We start from the raw sequence: 18500 nt of genomic DNA, 5'->3' as shown, positions 1-18500 counted from the left end.
CTGGGAGGCTGGGGGTGCGGGGACAGGGTCCTCGGGGTCAGAGTCCAGGACCACGGGACCAAAAGGGAGCCAGGACCCTGAATGTCTAGGTGAGGCCGCATGGGGCAGGGGGGCCCGCAGGCTTGGTTAGTGGGTGCCATGGTCCCTGCCCATCTGTGCTCTCGCCAGCGATGCCTGAGCAATGGGTATTCCAGAACCCCATGAATACTGGGCTGCTGGGCTCGAGTCCTGGGGGAGGGCGTGGTCCCAATGTCTTACTGTGGAGGAGATGAGGGCTGCAGGGATGAGCACTGTGGTCCATAGCTGGTCTCCCCAGGGGTAACAGGAGGGGTGAGGCTGCTGGGTGGAGCCAGGCCCCAGGTGGTCTACCCCAGGCCTGGGGGGCAGCCATGGAGCTGGGGAGGGTGAATGTGGCTCAGGGGCCCAGAGTGCTGCCAGGGTCCACTTTGTCCCGAAACTCCTGGCCTTGGTTCCAGAGGCAGCTTTCCTAAGATGGGCCGGGGGGCCACGTGCTGGGGTTGGGGGCCCACGGGGCTAAGAGGGAGACTGGCCTTCAGGGTTCACAGAGGCCAGCACCAGAAGGCATTGCTTCCTGCCTCATCCCATGCCCCTCGGGGGTCCACAGACAGGATGGAAGGTCGACAGAGACAGAGGGGTGGAGCCAGGCCTGCTGGGGGTCAGGACTCTCCCTGCAGTCAGGGGTGGCATCACTTCCCACCTCACCCTGTGCCCCCCCGGGGGTCCACAGACAGGACAGAGGTTGGTGTGAGACAGAGGCGGCTTTATTAGAACTAGAGGGGGTGCTGCCCAGGGTGGAACCAGGCCTGCTGGGGGTTAGTTCTGCAGAACTTGGGTCTGGGGGAGTAGCTGGGGTCCCACAGGCAGCCATCATCTGGGAAGGACTGGGGGAGCATCCTGGTCCCCAAGACAAAGAGCCTGCCCCACCTTCTGAGGGTGTCAAAGCCAGAGAGGGCAGAGCTTGCTGGGGCAGCTGGGAGGTCAGCCCCTGGTGGGAAGGGACTCCGGATCACATCCAGGGCTGTCAGCAGCTGGACTTCTGGCCAGAGCAGAGGCTGTAGCAGGCAGGGCGGGAGCACACGGGGCGGCAGAGGAGGGAAACACAGGAGGCCGTGCGGCAGCAGCTGGGCTGGCAGGAGGAGGCAGAGGCACCGCAGGAGGGGACGGGCACGCAGCAGGTGGACTTGCACACAGGGTGGCAGAGGAGGGACACGGAGGAGGAGGGTCTGCAGCAGGAGGCGGTGCAGCAAGCAGGCTGGCAGCTAGACTGCTGGCAGCATGAAGTGGAAGCCCCAGAGCACACAGGCACATAGCAGACGGACTTAGAGCAGACAGGCACACAGCAGGCCTGCTGGCATGGGGAGGAGGTGCAGCAAGTTGGCTGGCAGCTAGACTGCTGGCAGCATGAAGGGGAAGACTCGGAGCAGGTAGGCACGAAGCACACAGGCTTGTTACAGACGGGCACGCAGCAGACGGGCACACAGCAGACAGGCACACAGCAGGCCTGCTGGCAGGGGGAGGAGGTGCAGCAATCCGGCTGGCAGCTAGACTGCTGGTAGCATGGGGTTGTGCAGGAGCTGGTGTAGCCTGATTGGCAGGCGCTGGGCTCACAGGCCGTCTGGCAGCAGGGGCTGGACACACAGCTCACTGGGGTGCAGACCAGGGTCAAGCTGGGGGCTGGGGCACAGCAGCAGGGCTCGCAGCAGCTCTCTGGGCAGTCGACTACCCGCCAAGAGTCAGTGCAGGCGCTGGAGCAGATGGACATGGTGGAGGCGGCCATGCTGGAGTGGGGAGGCGGTGAGCTGGGGGAGGTGTGTGAGTGAGTGAGTGTGTGAGTGAGTGTGTGTGTGAGCCTGTCAGCTGCTGGGGCTTTTATATGCCCAGGGCCTGTGTTTTCCCAGCAGGAGACTCAGCAATGCCCTCCCCTTCCGTGTTGGTGTTTGGAGCCGGGAGGACCCTCATTATTTCTGCTTCCTTTGCCATGACTTGTCCTCACTCTGCTCCTAACACTTGGCTGGTCCTGGGCAGGACCGGCGCCCCTGGCTGAGCCTGTCTCCCGGGAACACCAGGAGGGAAGGTGTGACCTCTCTGGGGCTGACCTGGTGACTTCCACCTGGCAGGTCCCGTGACTGTGCCCAGCGTGGGCCCTCAGCCTGGGGGAGGCCCAGCCTCTGTCTGCAGGGACCTCACGGGGTGGGCTGGCGTGGCTGAGATTGGGAGAGCCAGGACGGAGGTGCCTGTGTTGGGAAAAGATGCTTGAAGACAGCGCTTCCTGGCGGGCTCTGGGATCTTCTGAGATCCTGATGTCTGCCAAGGGCAGGAGGACAGGGAGGACCTCCCCTCCTCTGAGGAGATGGAATGTTCTGGCAAGGCCTCTGGACAGTCAGCTCATTAGGAGGACAAGGTTTGGGGACTGGCCTTTGGGTCTGGACTGCCATCCCCTGGAGCCCTGGTCAGGTGTCCTGAGAGGGGCGGGTGCAGGTCAGGGTCTGAGGGTGGGGAGGGGCCTCTACCTTGGAGAGGCAGGTGTGGAGTGAGGGTTGCGTGGAGAGTGGAGGATACTTGGGGTCTGGATGAGAAAAGTGTCAGATGGGGCCACAGTCAGCCCCACTGCCCGGACGCCTGGTCTTACTCTATGTTTGCACTTTGGCTGAAGCCACATGCCAAGAAGTTGAAATGTGATGTGAATTTCTAGTATCTGTAGGTGACATCATTGTCCACCTAGGATCAGAGTGACTGTCCCAGGCCACGCTCACTGAAGGGCTGGATGAGAGACAAAGTCACTGCACCCAGCACCCCCTACCTGTACCCCTGCCATGACAGTGTGGAAATACAATGGGAAAGGAAGCCCGTCAGCCAGCAGACCCAAGTATAAAATGCCCAGTGGAATGTCAGAGGGTCAGATGTGAACGAAAGCATAAACCTTGACCAGAACACATACAACGTATGTCCCCTGGAAACCCGGCAGGGTTGGGTGCTGGAGACCGGTCCACATGCCTCAGCTCAGCTCAGCATCCACGACGTTCCCATCACAGCCCTGAAGGAATCATTGGGTACACAAATGAAGATATGAACTGCCAGAAAGTACTTGTAATCTCCATGACAGGTGGAAGATTAATGTGAAAAATTTGAAGTCCTTACCACTAAAACAGGATAAGATACAAAAGAAATGAATAGAAGACTAAAAATTTTAAATTTCCAATAAGCATGAATGAGATGAACAGCTAGTTGATCTCATTAATAACTAAAGTTTCTCAGGTTTAAACACACGTCTCCCACCTGTAAGAGCAAACAAGATTTAAAATGCTGATAATATCCAGCATTGCAGAGCGAGGGGCTTCATTCTTAGAAACCCTTGGCAGGTGTAATTTTATTTAAATTGTGATCAACCATAAAATAAAATGTACCATTTTACCCATTTTAAAGTGTGCAATTCAGTGACAGTACAGTCATAATGTTGTGCAACCATCCCCACTACCTAGTTCCAGAATACTATCATCGCTCCCGAAGGAACCCCGGTACTATTAAGCAGCCATGCCCAGCCCCTGGCAACCAATACTATTCTGCTTGTCTCTATGGATTTGCCTGTTCTGCACATTTCATATAGACGCAGTCATGGAATATGTGGTCTTTGTGTCTAGCTTTGTTCACTCAGCATGTTTTCAAGGTACACCTGTGTTTGGGTATGTTTCAGAACGCCATTCCTTTTCTTGGCTGAATCATATTCCATCAAAGGGACACGCCACATTTCATTTATCCATTCATCTGCTAATGCACTTTTGGGTTCTTTTCAACTTTTGGCTAGTGTGAATAGTGCTTCTATAAACATTCTTTTTTTTTTTTTTTTTTTTTGAGACAGAGTCTCCCTCTGTCACCCAGGCTGGAGTGCAGTGGCCCCATCTCGGCTCACTGCAACCTCCACCTCCCGGGTACAAGTGATTCTCCTGCCTCAGCCTCCCAAGTAGCTGGGATTACAGGTGCGCACCACCACACCCAGCTAATTTTTTATATTTTTGGTAGAGACGGGGTTTCACCATGTTGGCCAGGCTGGTCTTGAACTCCTGACCTCAAGTGATCCTCCCGCCTCGGCCTCCCAAAGTGCTGGGATTACAGGCATGAGCCACTGCGCCCGGCCCTATAAACATTCTTGTACATGTTTCTGTTTGAACACCTCTTTTTAATTCTGTTGGGTATATACCTAGGAGTGGGAACTGATGAGTTGTATGGAATTCCATGTTTACATTTTGAGGACGTGCCAGACTGTTTTTCACAGCATCTGTACCATTTTATATTCTCACTAGCAATGTACAAACATTCCAGTTTCTCTTCATCCTTGTCAACATCTGCTACCTTCTATTTGTTGGTGTATGTGTGTGTTAAATTATAGCCATCTTGGTGGGTATGAAGTATCAACAGCATGTCATTGTGGTGTGGATTTCTGTTTCCCTAATGACCAATAACATTGAGCTTCTTTTCCTGCGTGTATCATCCATTTGCATATCCTCCTTGGAGAAATGTCTATTAAAGGACTTTGCCTATTTTTAAATTGGGTTGACTTTTTGTTGTTGAATTATAAGAGTTCTTTATATATTCTGGGTGTTAGATCCTTATCAGAATTATGATTTACAAGCATGTTCTTCCCTTGTGTGGGTTGTTTTACTCTCTTGATAGTGTCCTTTGATGCACAAAACTTTTTAATTTTGATGACATCCAATTTATCTATTTTTTCCTTTTGTTGCTTATGCTTCTGGTGTCATATCTAAAAAACCATTGCCCAAAATAAGGTCATACATATTTACTCTTATGTTTCCTTCTAAGAATTTTATGGCTTTATCTCATATATGTAGGGCTTTGATCCATTTTTAGTTAATTTGTTGGTGTGAGATGTAGTGCAACTTTATGATTTTGTGTGTAGATATCCAGTTGTCCTAGCACCATTAAAACAGAGACAGGGTATTGCTCAGCCTGTTGCCCAGGCTGGAGTGCAGTGGCACAATCATAACTCATTGCAGCCTCAAACTCCTGGACTTAAGTGATCCTCCCACCTCAGTTTCCCAGGTAGCTGGGACTACAGGTGCACACCACTATATTTGGCTAATGAAAAAACATATTTTTTTAGGGACCAGGGTCTTACTCTGTTACCCAGGCTGGTCTCGAACTCTTGGCCTTAAACAATCCTCTCATCTCAACCTCCTGAGTAGTTGGGATTACAGGCATAAGCCATCATTTTATAGCATTTGTGTACCTAACATCAGTTATAAACATTCATGTACCTAACAAACATCAGACCCCCAAGATATATCAAGCATAAATGGAAAGAAGAGAAGAAAGAAATAGGCAATTCCAGTTCAACAATAATGTTTGAAGACTTCAATAAGTCACTTCCACTGATTAAAAAAAATTTTTAAATAGAACTAGATCAAAGATCAATAACGAAATAGAGAACTTGAAGAACACTATAAACAAGCTAGATCTAATATGGCCGTGTATAAAACATTCAACCCAACAACAGCAGAATACAAATTCTTCTCAGTTCTCCAGATTAGACCATATGTTAGTCCAAAAAACAAGTCTCAATAAATTTAAAATTATTGAAATCATATAATGTATCTTCTCTGACCACAGTGGGAATTAGAAATCAATAACAGAAGGAAAACTGGAAAATTCACAAATATGTGGCAATTAAACAACACATACTTATAACAACCAGTTGATTGAAGAATAAATCAAAAGAGAAGTTAGAAAATACTATGGGATAAATGACAGTGACAATATAACAAACCAAAACTTATGGGATACGGCAAAACAGTTTATGGAGGGAAATTTGTAGCTATAAATGCTTATATTAAAAAACAAGAAAGATCTCAATTCAGTAATCTAACTTCACACCTTAAGGAACCAGGAAAAGGAAGAGCAAACTAAACCAAAACCTAGAAGAAGGAAGAAAATAAAGATTATATGTAGAATACAGGGAGCAAATAAAGAAATTGAGAATAGAAAAACAATGGAACCAACGAAGCCTAAAATTAGTTTTTTGAAAGCAACAATAAAATTTACAAACCTTTAACTAGACTGAGAAAAAAGAGAAGGCTCTAATTATTAAAATCAGAAATGAAAGTGGGAACATTACTGCTGACCTATATAGATAAAAAAGACTATAAGAGAATATATGAACAATTGTACACTAACACATAAAATCAATAAAATTTATTCCATTTAAGCATGTTTAGTGATATTAAATACATTCATAATGTAGATAACCTAGATGTAATGGATAAATTCCTATTAACATACAAACTACCAAAACTGATACCTTTATTAGTGTTCTTTATTTCTTTTCTTCTTTTTCTTTTTGAGATGGAGTCTTGCACTGCCACCCAGGCTGGAGAGCAGTGGCACGATCTTGGCTCACTGCAACCTCTGCCTCCCAGGTTCAAGTGATTCTCCTTGCCTCAGCCTCCCAACTAGCTGGGATTACAGGTGCCCACCACCACACTCAGCTATTTTTTTTTGTGTGTGTATTTTTAGCAGAGATGGAGTTTCACTATGTTGGCCAGGCTGGTCTCAAACCCTTGACCTTCTGATCTGCCCGCCTCAGCCTCCCAAAGTGCTGGGATTACAGGCGTGAGCCACTGTGCCCAGCCAGTTCTTTATTTCTTAATATGGCTTCAAGTTATTGTCTAGTGCCCTTTGATTTCATCCTGAGCTGTCATTTCTTGTAGGGCAGGCCTACTGGCAATAAACTCTCTCAGCATTTATTTATCCAGAAGTGTCCTAATTTCTCCTTTAGTTTCAAAGAATCATTTCATTGGACACAGACTTCTTGGTGGACAGTTTTTTTCTCTTTCAGCACTTTAAGTACATCATCCCATTGCCTTCTGTTCTTCATGGTTTTTGAAGAGAAATTGGCTGTTAATCTTCTCTCTTCCTGCTTTCAAGATTCTTGTTTTGTCTTTGGCTTTCAATAATTTAATTTTGTGTTTCTGTGTGGATCTTTTTGAGTTTATTCTACTTGAAGCTCATGGAGCTTCTTGAATGTGTAGATTCAATGTGTTTCATCATATTTGGGAAGTTTTTGGTCATTATTACTTCAAATATTTAAAAAATTATTGTAGTTAAATACACGTGAAATTTATCCCATTTTAAGTGTACCGTTCAGTGATATTAAATACATTCATAATGCAGTGCGGTCATTGCCACCATCCGTCTTCAAAACTTTTCATCTTGGAAAACTGAAACTCTGTCCCCATTAAACACTAACTCCACATTCCTCCTCCTCCCCCCAGGCACCTGGCAACCACCATTTTACTTTCTGTCTCTATCATTTTTCTTCAAATAGTTTTGAGTGCTCCATTCTCTCTCTGCTCTTCTTCTGACACTGCTGTTAAGTGTGCTGTTGGTATGTTTGATGTTGTCCTACAGGCCAGTTAAACTCTGTTCAGTTTTAAAATTCTTTTGTTTTTGTTTGTTTTGAGATGGAGTCTCACTCTGTCATTCAGGCTGGAGTGCAGTGGCATGATCTTGGCTCACTGCAACCTCCGCTTCCCAGGTTCAAGTGATTCTCCTGCCTCAGGCTCCCGAGTAGCTGAGATTACAGGCATGAGCCACCACGCCCAGCTATTTATTTATTTATTTTATTTTTAGTAGAGACAGGGTTTCACTATGTTGCCCCAGGCCGTTCTCAAACTCCCAACCTCAAATGATCTGCCTGCCTCAGCCTCCCAAAGTGCTGGGATTACAGGTGTGAGCCATCACGCTCGGCCTCTTTTTGTTTTTATGCCCTTCAGACTGGAGTATTTCACTTGACCTATCTACCTGTTCTCTAATTTTTCCTTCTGTCTGTTCAAATCGGCTGTGGGACTTCTCTAGTGAAATTTTCATATCAGTTATTATACTTTTCAACTCCAGAATTTCTATTTGATTCCTCTTTATAATCTCTCTCTTTATTGATATTCTCTCTTGGTTGAGATGTTGTTTTCTTAGTTTCTCTTTGTTCTTTTGTCATGGTTTCCTTTAGCTCTTTGAGTATATTTAAAAGAGTTAATGGAAAGACTTTGTCGAGTAAATTCAATCCTGGGCTTCTTCAAGGACATTTTTCACTACTTGGCTTTTTTTTCTTTCTTTACTGCGAATGAACCATACATTCTTGCTTCTTTGCATGCCTCATAATTTTTGTTGAAAACTGGACATTTGGAATATTATAATTTGATAATTCTGGATGGCACATTCTCCCTCTTCCCTGTGGTTTGCTGTTGCTGGTTGTGTGGCTAGTAGTTTTGTTTTGTTTTTAAGTGACTTTCCTAAACTATTTTAGTAATGACTATACTCTTTGTCATGAAGGGGGTCACTATTCCATTTGCTTAGTGCTCAGATAGTAATTAGACAGAGTTTCTTAAACACCTGGAGTCAAAAGATGTTTTTTTCCCAGTCTTTATAGCTGGACTCTGTGTGTTGGTCCACACCCTCAGTGCTCACCTGGGCGGTTTGCGACTGCCTTCCCCTTCACTTCCCCTTCACTTCCTGCCTTCCCCTTCACTTCCCCTTCACTTCCTGCCCTCCCCTTCACTTCCTGCCCTCCCCTTCACTTCCTGCTTGCTCAGAGCCTGCAGTTCAGCCAGAGGTGAGCACTGAGAGCCTCTCAGGTCTTTTCTGTGCCCCATCATGGGCATGCATGGGGGCCTTATAGACTCCCAAGAATATGTGGAATCTTCCAATGCCCTTATTTCCCAAAGCATCTAATTTCTCAGCTCTTCCTCCCAGGTTTTTTGGGGTGTCCATTGTTTTCTCAACTGATATCCTTTGTCCAGGTGGCAGTGACTGGTTCATTTGCCTTTAAATGTTCTGACCAAGCCTCTGTGTAGCTGCTTCTCTGGCTGGAGGGAATCTGAGTTGGCGAAATAAGGCAAGCCCTGTGTGTTAGTCCTTCAGGAAGCCGTCACTACTGTGCTCCTCTCCTGCCTTGTTCTGTTAGATCTTTAGAGAAGAAATTATTTACCTTCACATTTCACTTCCCCAGTGCTTGTTCCCCCTCTGCCCACCACAGGATGCCCCTGCCCACAGAATGTGACTGGAAAGCCCCTCATCAAGGTCTCCAAGAACTCCCATTCCTAAATCCTGAGTTGGTTTCTATCACTGTGAGTGTGTGTACCACGGCCCCTGAAGCCCTAGGTCACTCTCCATACCACTCAGGAAGCCTGTGCAAGATGCTCCTGACCCCCGCGACAGCCCTGTGGCCCCCACTTTCCCTGCACCCATCCCTGTGTGGCCTGTCTCTTCCAGCACAGCTGCCTGGCCTGCGCTCCATCCCCACCTTCCCCTTCTGGAAGCGAGCCGTGCCTCCTGCGGTGGGACCAGTGAGAGTTCCCCTTATGAGCCAGGCACTGGGGACAACAGGATGCCTAAACAGGAACCATTTGGTGGGTGTCTGAGGCCTCTGGACAGCGTTGTTCAGCAGGTGAAGGAGTCCATGTGAGCAGAATTTCCCCGAGGGTCGTGTCTCTGTCCAAATGTCCATCGCTGCAGTTTATGGACAGGGAGCGTCTGCCCCAGCCAGGCCCCACTGGGGATCTTCGAGGCACAGGTGGCCTCACTGCCACCCTCACTCCTGCCTCAAGGGCCAAAGCCAGAGCCCCCTGATATGGGCTGACTTGTGATGCCCCCGAATTCACATGTTGAAGTCCTAAGTTAAGGTCCTATGGATGGGCCCTAATCCAATGACTGGTGTCCTCTTGAGAAGAGGAGATGAGGGCAGAGACACACACAGAGGGACAGCCCCGTAAGGACACAGGGAGAAGACTGTGTCTGCAAGCCCAAGAGAGAGTCTTCGGGAACCAGCCCTGCCACACCTGGGCCTCAATTTCCAGCCCCAGGACTGTGAGGGACCCCATGTATGTGGCTCGAGCCCCCAGTCCGTGGACTTTGTCACAGCAGCCTGAGCTGACACATGCAGCTCCTCTCAGGTGTGGGGGTCCTTTGTGCCCACAGGGTATGGCCGAGGCCCCCAAACCCGACTATGCTCTCCTAAGGCGAGAAGAGTGGGCGGCATCGCAGCCCCGGGTCACCAGTGTGGGGGGTGTGGGTGAGGACTGGAGGGGACAGTGTGGCTCTGGCCATCTGCCTGTCTCCCATGGCAGGAGCTAAGAAACTACCCCCAGGAGGCCTCCTTCCTGCTGTCTGGTCTGGACACATTCCCACACTGTCCTGGGACTCCTCTGTCATCGCCGCCCTGAGACCTTCCTGTTCCCACCGGCCCTCCACCCACCCAGCCCAGCACAGGGAGCTCTGGAGACCACGTGTCTGTTCTCTGCTCTGCATCCCAGCGGCAAGCCCAGGGCTGGAGCAGGGGCCATCCCTGAGCGTCTGTGAGTGTCCACAGGAGGCCAGGATGGCCAAGCTCTCTCCGAGTGGAACTCCTGAGTGCTGGGACAGCTGGAGCCCAAGTCTCCACACCCACCCCCCACCGCCCGTCTCCCACCTCCCAGCACAGCTGGGGCCTGCCACCCCCCGGGACAGCCCCAACCCTTGCCATGGGAAGGAGCTGCTTCTACCCACAGTGAGTGGGGCATTAGCCTGAGTCACGTGGTGTCTGTGGGACTCAGCCAGTGAACAAGGCTTTTGGGCCCCACAGGACCTGGGAGGGGAGCCGGACAGCAGAACGTGCCACGAGGTGGACAGGAGCTTCCAGGTGTCACACAAGAGCCCCCCGAGGCCCCCCAGCTGGGGAAGTAAAGAGATCCACGGGGCCCAGCCCCCCAGAGCCAGGCCAGGCCCCACTCTGCCCCCTCCCGCCCTGGGTGCGGAGAGTCAGCACGGAGTCAGCTGGGGCCGCAGACGCTTTATTGGTGCTCAGGGGCAGAGGGTGACGCTGCTGGGGGTGAGACCCGGGTCAGGAGGGCCCGTCCCCAACCAGCGACCAGCGGAGGGTTGTGGTCTGCAGCCAGGAAGCACCGTGAGGAGAAGCCAGGGCTCGCCTGCCCGGGGGGGAGGTCAGGGAGGAGCCAGTGAGCATCTGAGACCCCGGGGCTGGGCGGCTGTGGCTGGGGCTGCTCCTTCTGTGTTGAGCTGTGCTGAGGCTGGGTGGGCTGGGAGGTCCAAGGACTGGCAGGGAGGTGGGGCCTGAGCCCGGCTGGCCCTGGGGGACATGACCGTCAGCAGCTGGACTTCTGGCCTGAGGAGAAGCTGTAGCAGGCCGGGCGGGAGCACACAGGGCGGCAGAGAAGGGACACACAGGAGGCCTGGCGGCAATAGCTGGGCTGGCGGGAGGAGGTGGGGGCACAGCAGGAGGAGACGGGCACGCAGCAGGCGGGCCTGCACACAGGGCGGCAGAGGAGGGACACAGAGGAGGAGGGTCTGCAGCAGGAGGTGGTGCAGCAAGCCGGCTGGCAGCCAGACTGCTGGCAGCACAAAGAGGAAGCCCCAGAGCAGACAGGCACACAGCAGATGGGTTTGCAGCAGACAGGCTTACAGCAGACAGGCACACAGTAGGACTGCTGGCAGGGGGAGGAAGTGCAGCAAGCTGGCTGGCAGCTAGACTGTTGGCAGCATGAATAGGAATCCTCAGAGCAGGTGGGCGCACAGCACACAGGTTTGCAGCAGACGGGCACACAGCAGGCCGGCTGGCAGGAGGAAGAGGCACAGCAAGCTGGCTGGTAGCTAGACTGTTGGCAGCACGAAGAAGCCCCACAGCAGACGGGCACGCAGCACACAGGCTTGCAGCAGACGGGCACGCAGCAGGCCTGCTGGCAGGGGGAGGAGGTGCAGTAAGCCGGCTGGCAGCTAGACTGCTGGCAGCACGAGGGCGTGCAGGAGCTGGTGCAGCCTGATTGGCAGGGGCTGGGCTCACAGGTCACCTGGCAGCAGGGGCTGGATACACGGCTCACTGGGGTGCAGACCAGGGTCAGGCAGGGGGCCGGGGCGCAGCAGCTGGTGGCGCAGCAGGGGGGCTCACAGCAGCTCTCTGGGCAGTCGTCCACCTGCCAGGAGTCGGAGTAAGCGCTGGAGCGGATGGACATGGTGGACGCGGCCATGCTGGGGTGGGGAGGAGGTGAGCTGGGGGAGGTGTAAGTGAGTGTGTGAGTGTGTCAGTGAGTGAGTTTGTGAGTGTGTGAGGTTCTTGGGGCTCTCAGGCTTTTATACCCCTCCTGGCCTTGTTGTTCCAGGGCCCACAGCTTCCCCTTCCTTGTTGCTGAGAGGCGGCGTCTGCCATGATTAGGGATGTTTGTTTGCTGGTGACATTGCCCAGCTCACAAATCTCCTGTCACACCTGGGCTATAGTCTGTTGCATGTGGAACCTCAGGGGCAGGAGTTGGGGTGGGCCTGATCCCAGCTGGGTTCTGGAGGCAAGGACGGCTGTGGGCGTCTGGTGGGTGGGATGTGGGTGGGATGTGCCTGGGGCCATCTTTGGTTGCTGGGGCATCGTCCAGCCACTGGCCCCAGCAGCCTCAGGACACGGGCTTCCTCTGCAGGAAGCCGGCCCTTAGGAATTATTTCCTGTGGTGCAAACTCCTCCTCTAGTATGGTCCTTCCCCTGCTGTAGGACACAGGACTCGCCAATTTCTAATCCCCATGGCCTCTGTGCCTCCTGCCCTCTGTTCATTGCCCACCCTGTCCTTTGCTTGGGAGGCAGCAGGACTCTGTTCCAGGGCAGGGATCGTGGGCTCAGCCCACTCCTTGCTGAGGCACAATGGCAGCATCGTGGGCTGTGGTTTCGGGTTCTGAACCCGTGAAGTAGCTGTGCTAGGCAGCAGGCAGCCGCCAGCCCTCGCCACTGCTGGAGCCATCTCCTCCGTGTGCCCTGCACTGCAAGCATCTTTTTCTCACCAGCCCTGCCCACAGGCCCCATCACACACCCCCAGGTCAGCCACAGGCAACTCTCACGGCTGCATGATCTTTGATGATGAATTGTTATCACCACAGGGCATGATGAAGTCCCGAGCTTCTTGCCTTATAAAATGGCCCTGATCACTTTCCAGGAACATTGCTACCCAGCAGCTAATTATAATATTGATTGTGATTTCACATTTTTATTTAAAAATTCAAGTACACATACGCATATTTCATTATAAAGTAAGACGTATTACACGATGTTGAGTAGAACGTCTTTGTTGCTGTGAATCTGGCAAAGCTGGAAACGGCCTCTCATTCTAAAAATAATGCTAACATTCTGGGTCAGACCTGTCCCCACAGGGTTTCTAAAATAAGACAGAAGTTGACCAGCTATGGCCAGCTGCCACACCCCACCAGTGCTGCCCAGGTTGTAAGAAGGAGGCTGTGGAGGCAGGGGTGGCCCTTCAGTCTTACGCAAAGTGTGGTGTCCCAGGGAGAGAGTCCTCCAGCTACTGTCCCTGGGGGTGTCTCTAAAGTGGGTCCTCACTGAAGAGGCAGAAGCAGCTGGTAGAAGCACAGGATCACTGGAGCAGCCGGAGAGAAGGTGCAGCAGTGGCCAGTGAGCCCCACAGTGGTGGCCCTGCACATTCCTTCCCCCGTCCCCATCACTGAAGAAATTAGAGCCCAAAACAGGGAGAAGGGGAGCAAGGAAAGAGAGGCCATGCCGCTCCCCGCGGCCTTCCCCGAGGTCCACTCAGACTTGCATGTGGGAACGCTGGGGATAGGACTGGGTTTCAGACAGGATAGAAAAGTTTTGAACTGGTCCATTTTGGGCTATGGATTTGGTTCTGCTCTTTCAGGCCATAGCTTTATGATACGCTTCAATCATAGATAATTCAAGTCCCATTATCAATATTTCTTTTTGTAAAAAAAAATTTTTTTTGTAGAGACCAGAGTCTTGCTATGTTGCCCAGCTGGTCTTGAACTCCTGGGCTCAAGTGATCCTCCTGCCTTGGCCTCCCAAATTGCTGGGACTACAGGCGTAAGCCACCGTGCGTGGCCCATCATCAGTATTTCTGTGCCAAGTCTCCTAACTTTTCATGCTCATTTTCTTTGCTGTGCTCAGCTCCCATTCTTCAAAGGTAAGCTTCATGTGGGCAGGAAGTGTGGTTGTCTTGTTCACCACTCAGTCTCTGAGGGCCTAAAATAATGCCTGGAATAGGGAAGATCCTTCATAAAAATGGGCTGAAATAATAAATGTTTTTGGAGAAATTATCGAAGAGTAATTTTGACCTCTGAAAACGATTCCATTATGCTACCTTTTTCTTATGCTGTATAAAACTCTCTGTCAAGTTCTGCTTTTGTGTGTGGGGAATTGGCTGACATCAGACTGGCCATCTAGCTGAGAAAAGTTAGGAAACCTGGTTTAACAAACAAAATCTCTATTTGAGGGCACCAGGAGTCACCAAGACAGCTGAGACTTGAGTGAGTGAATCCCTATTAGAGGGAAAGTGCACAGAAGTGAGTCTAATATTTCTTCTGGATTTTCTTATTGAGGCATTTACTGATTCACAGACTACAGCCATGAGGCTGAGGCTGAGCACAGCTTTTAGTAGTCTCATACAATTGGAAGACAAAAACATAGAGTTCAGGACCTGACAAGGAGGAGGGATTCTGGTAAAACAACAACAACAACAGACTGTCAGTTGGAAACAGTGAATATAAGTGAAGGATTACGCCCTAGGATGAAGGAAAAAACGGAAAGAAGAATGAAGCCCACCTTTAAATCAGCTCGTATTGAACTCATATGATCTGCCTGTAGCCTAAGTGCCTCCCAGAAACAAAAGTGATCTCTTCTGGAGACAGCAGCATCAACAGAGGCTCAAATCATCTTGGAAATTTTCATGAAGTCCTGGATTCAGTCAAAAATTACTAGGGCTACTAGAAGACAAACCAACTGACCAAAGGACCAAGAGGAAAAAGCAAACAAGAGAAACAGATACACAGGACCTTTAGATATTAGAATTGTCAAACTGGAATTTAAAATAATGCTGATTAGCTTGCTCAAAAAACCAGAGGACAAATGGAGAATTTCAGTGTCAAACTAGATTTATGAAATGGAATCAAACAGAAATTCTGGAAATGAACATAATAGCTGAAATTAAGAACTAAGTAGATTAGCTAGACAACATATTAGACAAAACCAAAGAGAAGATTAGTGAAGAAAGGGAGATGAGGAAATTCAGCCCTGAGTACAGAGATGGGAAAGAAAAGAGGGAAATGAAGAAAGTGGAGTAGTAAGCATGCCCTTATGTTGTAAATAATTATGAATATAAATGGTTGAAATCATAGGAGGAGATGAGTAAAATAAGGGTAGTAAAATATTTGAAGGTTTAATAGACAAGAAGTTTAAAGTGATGAAAAACATTAACCCATAGATGCAAAAAGCATTTAAGAATGTTTAGCAAGGTGAATACAAAGGAAACCATGCCTGTGCATATTGGGGCTGAAATCCAAAGACAGAGAAAAATTTAAAAACAGCCAAGGGAAAAAAAAAGAAATATTACCTTTAAAGAAGCAACAATAGCATTTACAGATGACTTCTCAGTAGAAATGATGGCAGCCAGAGGATGATGGAATGATATATTTACTGTCTGAAAGAAAAGAAGCACCAAGCTAGAATTCTACACCTGGGAAGAAGATCCTCAAAAATGAGGACAGGAAAATGATGTTCTCTGGATGCTGAGAGGTTGTGTCACCAGTAGGATCTGCACTACAGAAAATAAAAAGATAATTAGGCAGAATGAAAATGATCACAGATGGAAGCAAGAAGTCGAAAAGGAAATGAAGTGTAACAAAAGGAGGACAACATGGGGAAATCTAAATGAATATTTACTGTATAAGATGTCTTAGAAGTTGTAAAATATTTATAGAAATGAAATACATGGCAAGAAGATCACAAAATTCAGGAGGGGGCTACATGAAGTTAAAGCAGTCTTAGTACACTATACTATCTGGGAAATAATATAAGATCTAATTTACATTAGACTTTAAAAAGTCATAGATTCATGTTGTAATCTCCACTAGAGTAATGAAAGAATATACAACTCAGGAGGAAGTAGATGAGTGTAGTGGGTTGAATCTTGCCTCCCCAAAAGTCATATCCACCCAGAACCTCACTGTGTTAAGCTGGTCTCGCATTGCTATAAAGAAATATTTGAGACTGGGTAATTTATAAGACGAAAGTTTAGTTGGCTCATGGTTCTGCAGGTTGTACAGGAAACATGGCGCTGGCATCTGCTCAGCTTCTGGGGAGGCCTCAGGGGGCTTTGCTCATGGTGGAAGGTGAAGGGGGAGTGGGCATGTCACATGGCAAAAGAGTAGCAAGAGAAAGAGAGTGGGGGATGGGAGGTGCTACACGCTTAACCAGATCTTGCCAGAACTCCCTCACTATCACAAGGACAGCACTACTAAGTCATGAGAGATCCGCTCCCATGAGTCAAATAGCTCCCCCAAGGCCCCACCTCCAACAGTGGAGATCACATTTCAACATGAGATTTGGCAGGGCCATACAACCAAACCATGTCACTCACAATGTGACCTTACATAGAAATAGGGTCTTTGTAGATGAAATTAGTTAAAATGAGGTCATACCGGGTTATAGTGAACCTTAAATCCAATGACTAATGTCTTTATCAGAGAAAGGAGAAGGAAGTTCAAACACACACACAAAGGGAAGACGGCGTATGACAGCCAAGGCAAAGATTGTCATGAGGCAGCTATAAGCCAAGGGACGCCAAGGTTTGCTGGGAGCACCAGAAACTAGAAGCAGCAAGGACAGAGTCTCCCTTGGAGCTAAGAGAAAGCATGGCCCTGTGGATATCTTCATTTCAGGTGCCTGGCCCTAAGAACTGCGAGATAATAAATTTCCACTCTTATAAGTCACTTTTTTGGTGACATTTGATGTGGCAGCCCAAGGAACTAATACAGTGAGGGGAAGATGGGGGCATAAAAAATCTCAAAACACTAGATCCAAAAGCAGTAAAGCAAGGAGATAAAAGGGAGTAGATTCCTTGCGTAAGCAAAAACCAAAATGAGATGGGAGGTTTAAGCTCAAACGTATCAGCAAAGCCCCACATTCTTGCCAGTCCTGCACAGCAGATGTGTTGTTACTTTAGTCAACACAGCTATACAGAGAGAGTCCTTTGGGGTTTAAGTTTGTATTGCCCTGATGACTCATGATGTGGAGCATGTTTTCATGTATTTATTTGCCATCTGTACCTGCTCTTTAGGGAAGGGTCTATTTAAGTCTTATGTTATATGGCAAAATACTAAGCACCATGGGGTTCCATGCATATAACATTTTGGAAAAGGTAATTGTAAAGGGACCAAAAAAAATGTCAGTGGCTGCCAGGGACTAGGATGGGGATGTGGAATGACTACAAATGGCCATGAGGGAAATGTATGGGATGATGAGAGGAGTCTATGTATTGATTGCGTTGGTGGAGACACAACTGTCTATATTTGTCAAGACACCGAATCCACACAAAAGGAACAAAAATACAAATATCCCATATTGATTAAATAACTTGAATCTAACATCAAAAGCTTTCCTACAGAGCCAACTACAGACCCAAATACTTTCCCTGCTGAATATTCTCAAACAACTGGGAGAGAAATAATACCAGTCTTAAATTTATCAGCTTGTTTTATTAGGCTGCCATAATTTTCCAGACCTTAGGAAGTGGGGCCTGAAGTATTGGCTTCTAGTGAGAGCAACTGAGGAATGATATGTGCTGCCCAGGGGGCCACGTGGATGTTACCTGGGGACATGATGGCCCTACTGGGGAGGGGCCAGCCATAGGCCAGGAAAGGAGCCTGATGAGGAAGCCACTGTCATACAGAAGCTGGAGCAGACTGATCGGCGGGGGCTGGGCCCACAGGACATTATGTAGTGATTAATGTCCATCCATCAATAAGATATATCAATTATAAATATATACATGTTTATCATCAGATCACCAATGTATATGAAACAAAAATGGACAGATTTGAAGAAAGAAATAGACAGTTCCAGTTCTACAGTAAGAGTTTGAGACTTCAATAAGCCATTCTCTCTAATTTAAAAAAGTATAAAATAACAGAACTAAATTTTTATTCAATAAGGAAATAGAGGACTTGAAAAATGACATAAATCTACTGGGTCTAACAGATATGTGCAAAAACACACAACCCAACTACAGCAGAAAACTCACTCTCCTCAAGTTCACATGGGACATTCTTCAGATTAGATTTTACCTTAGGCCACAAAACTAGCCTCAATAATCTAAATTGATTTGAATCATACAGAGTATCTTCTCTGATTACAATGGAAGGAAACTAGAAATCAGTAACAAAAGAAAAGCTGGAATTCACAAATATGTGTAACCTAATAGCACACTTTCAAACAACCAATTGGTCAAAGGAGAATTCAAAGAGAAGATAGAAAACTCTTGGAAAGGAATGAGAAAGAAATCACAGTAACCCAAAACTTAACGAGATGCAATGAAGGCAGTACATAGAGGGAAATTGATAGCTAGGAATGCTTACATAAAAAAATAGAAACATCTCAAATCATTAATTTAACTTTACACCTTAAGGAACTAGAAAAAGAGCAA

At 48.4% G+C, this 18500-nt stretch overlaps 3 protein-coding genes across 4 annotated transcripts in view, besides 1 other annotated feature; 1 reads left to right on the top strand and 2 right to left on the bottom strand.

Annotated features, from left to right (window-relative positions):
- TSPEAR (thrombospondin type laminin G domain and EAR repeats) overlaps window positions 1–18500 on the top strand; it is a 213680-nt gene that overhangs the window by 72357 nt on the left and 122823 nt on the right. The window lies entirely within an intron of this gene.
- Window positions 761–1860, bottom strand: KRTAP10-10 (keratin associated protein 10-10). The gene has a single exon (NM_181688.3). It carries the CDS (start codon window positions 1796–1798, stop codon window positions 1043–1045), a length of 756 nt encoding a protein of 251 aa, NP_859016.1. The 5' UTR covers window positions 1799–1860; the 3' UTR covers window positions 761–1042.
- Window positions 10838–12123, bottom strand: KRTAP10-9 (keratin associated protein 10-9). Its single transcript, NM_198690.3, has one exon. The coding sequence runs from the start codon at window positions 12042–12044 to the stop codon at window positions 11166–11168; it is 879 nt and encodes a 292-aa protein (NP_941963.2). The 5' UTR covers window positions 12045–12123; the 3' UTR covers window positions 10838–11165.
- Window positions 12503–13198: an enhancer, noted in NCBI's record as "H3K4me1 hESC enhancer chr21:46045935-46046630 (GRCh37/hg19 assembly coordinates)". NCBI's record gives its function as "activates a minimal SCP1, AML or CMV promoter by ChIP-STARR-seq in primed H9 embryonic stem cells {active_cell/tissue: H9 hESC(primed)}" and the evidence as "EXISTENCE:reporter gene assay evidence [ECO:0000049][PMID:30033119]".

This window comes from Homo sapiens, chromosome 21, assembly GCF_000001405.40.
Source record: "Homo sapiens chromosome 21, GRCh38.p14 Primary Assembly".
NCBI lineage: Eukaryota > Metazoa > Chordata > Mammalia > Primates > Hominidae > Homo > Homo sapiens.
Note: the sequence above shows the minus strand (reverse complement) of the source record. Positions and strands in the feature narration are given on the sequence as shown.

Excerpts from the sequence above, each read along its gene's own strand:
- KRTAP10-9 (NM_198690.3), bottom strand. The coding sequence starts at position 12,044 with ATGGCCGCGTCCACCATGTCCATCCGCTCCAGCGCTTACTCCGACTCC.
- KRTAP10-10 (NM_181688.3), bottom strand. The coding sequence starts at position 1,798 with ATGGCCGCCTCCACCATGTCCATCTGCTCCAGCGCCTGCACTGACTCT.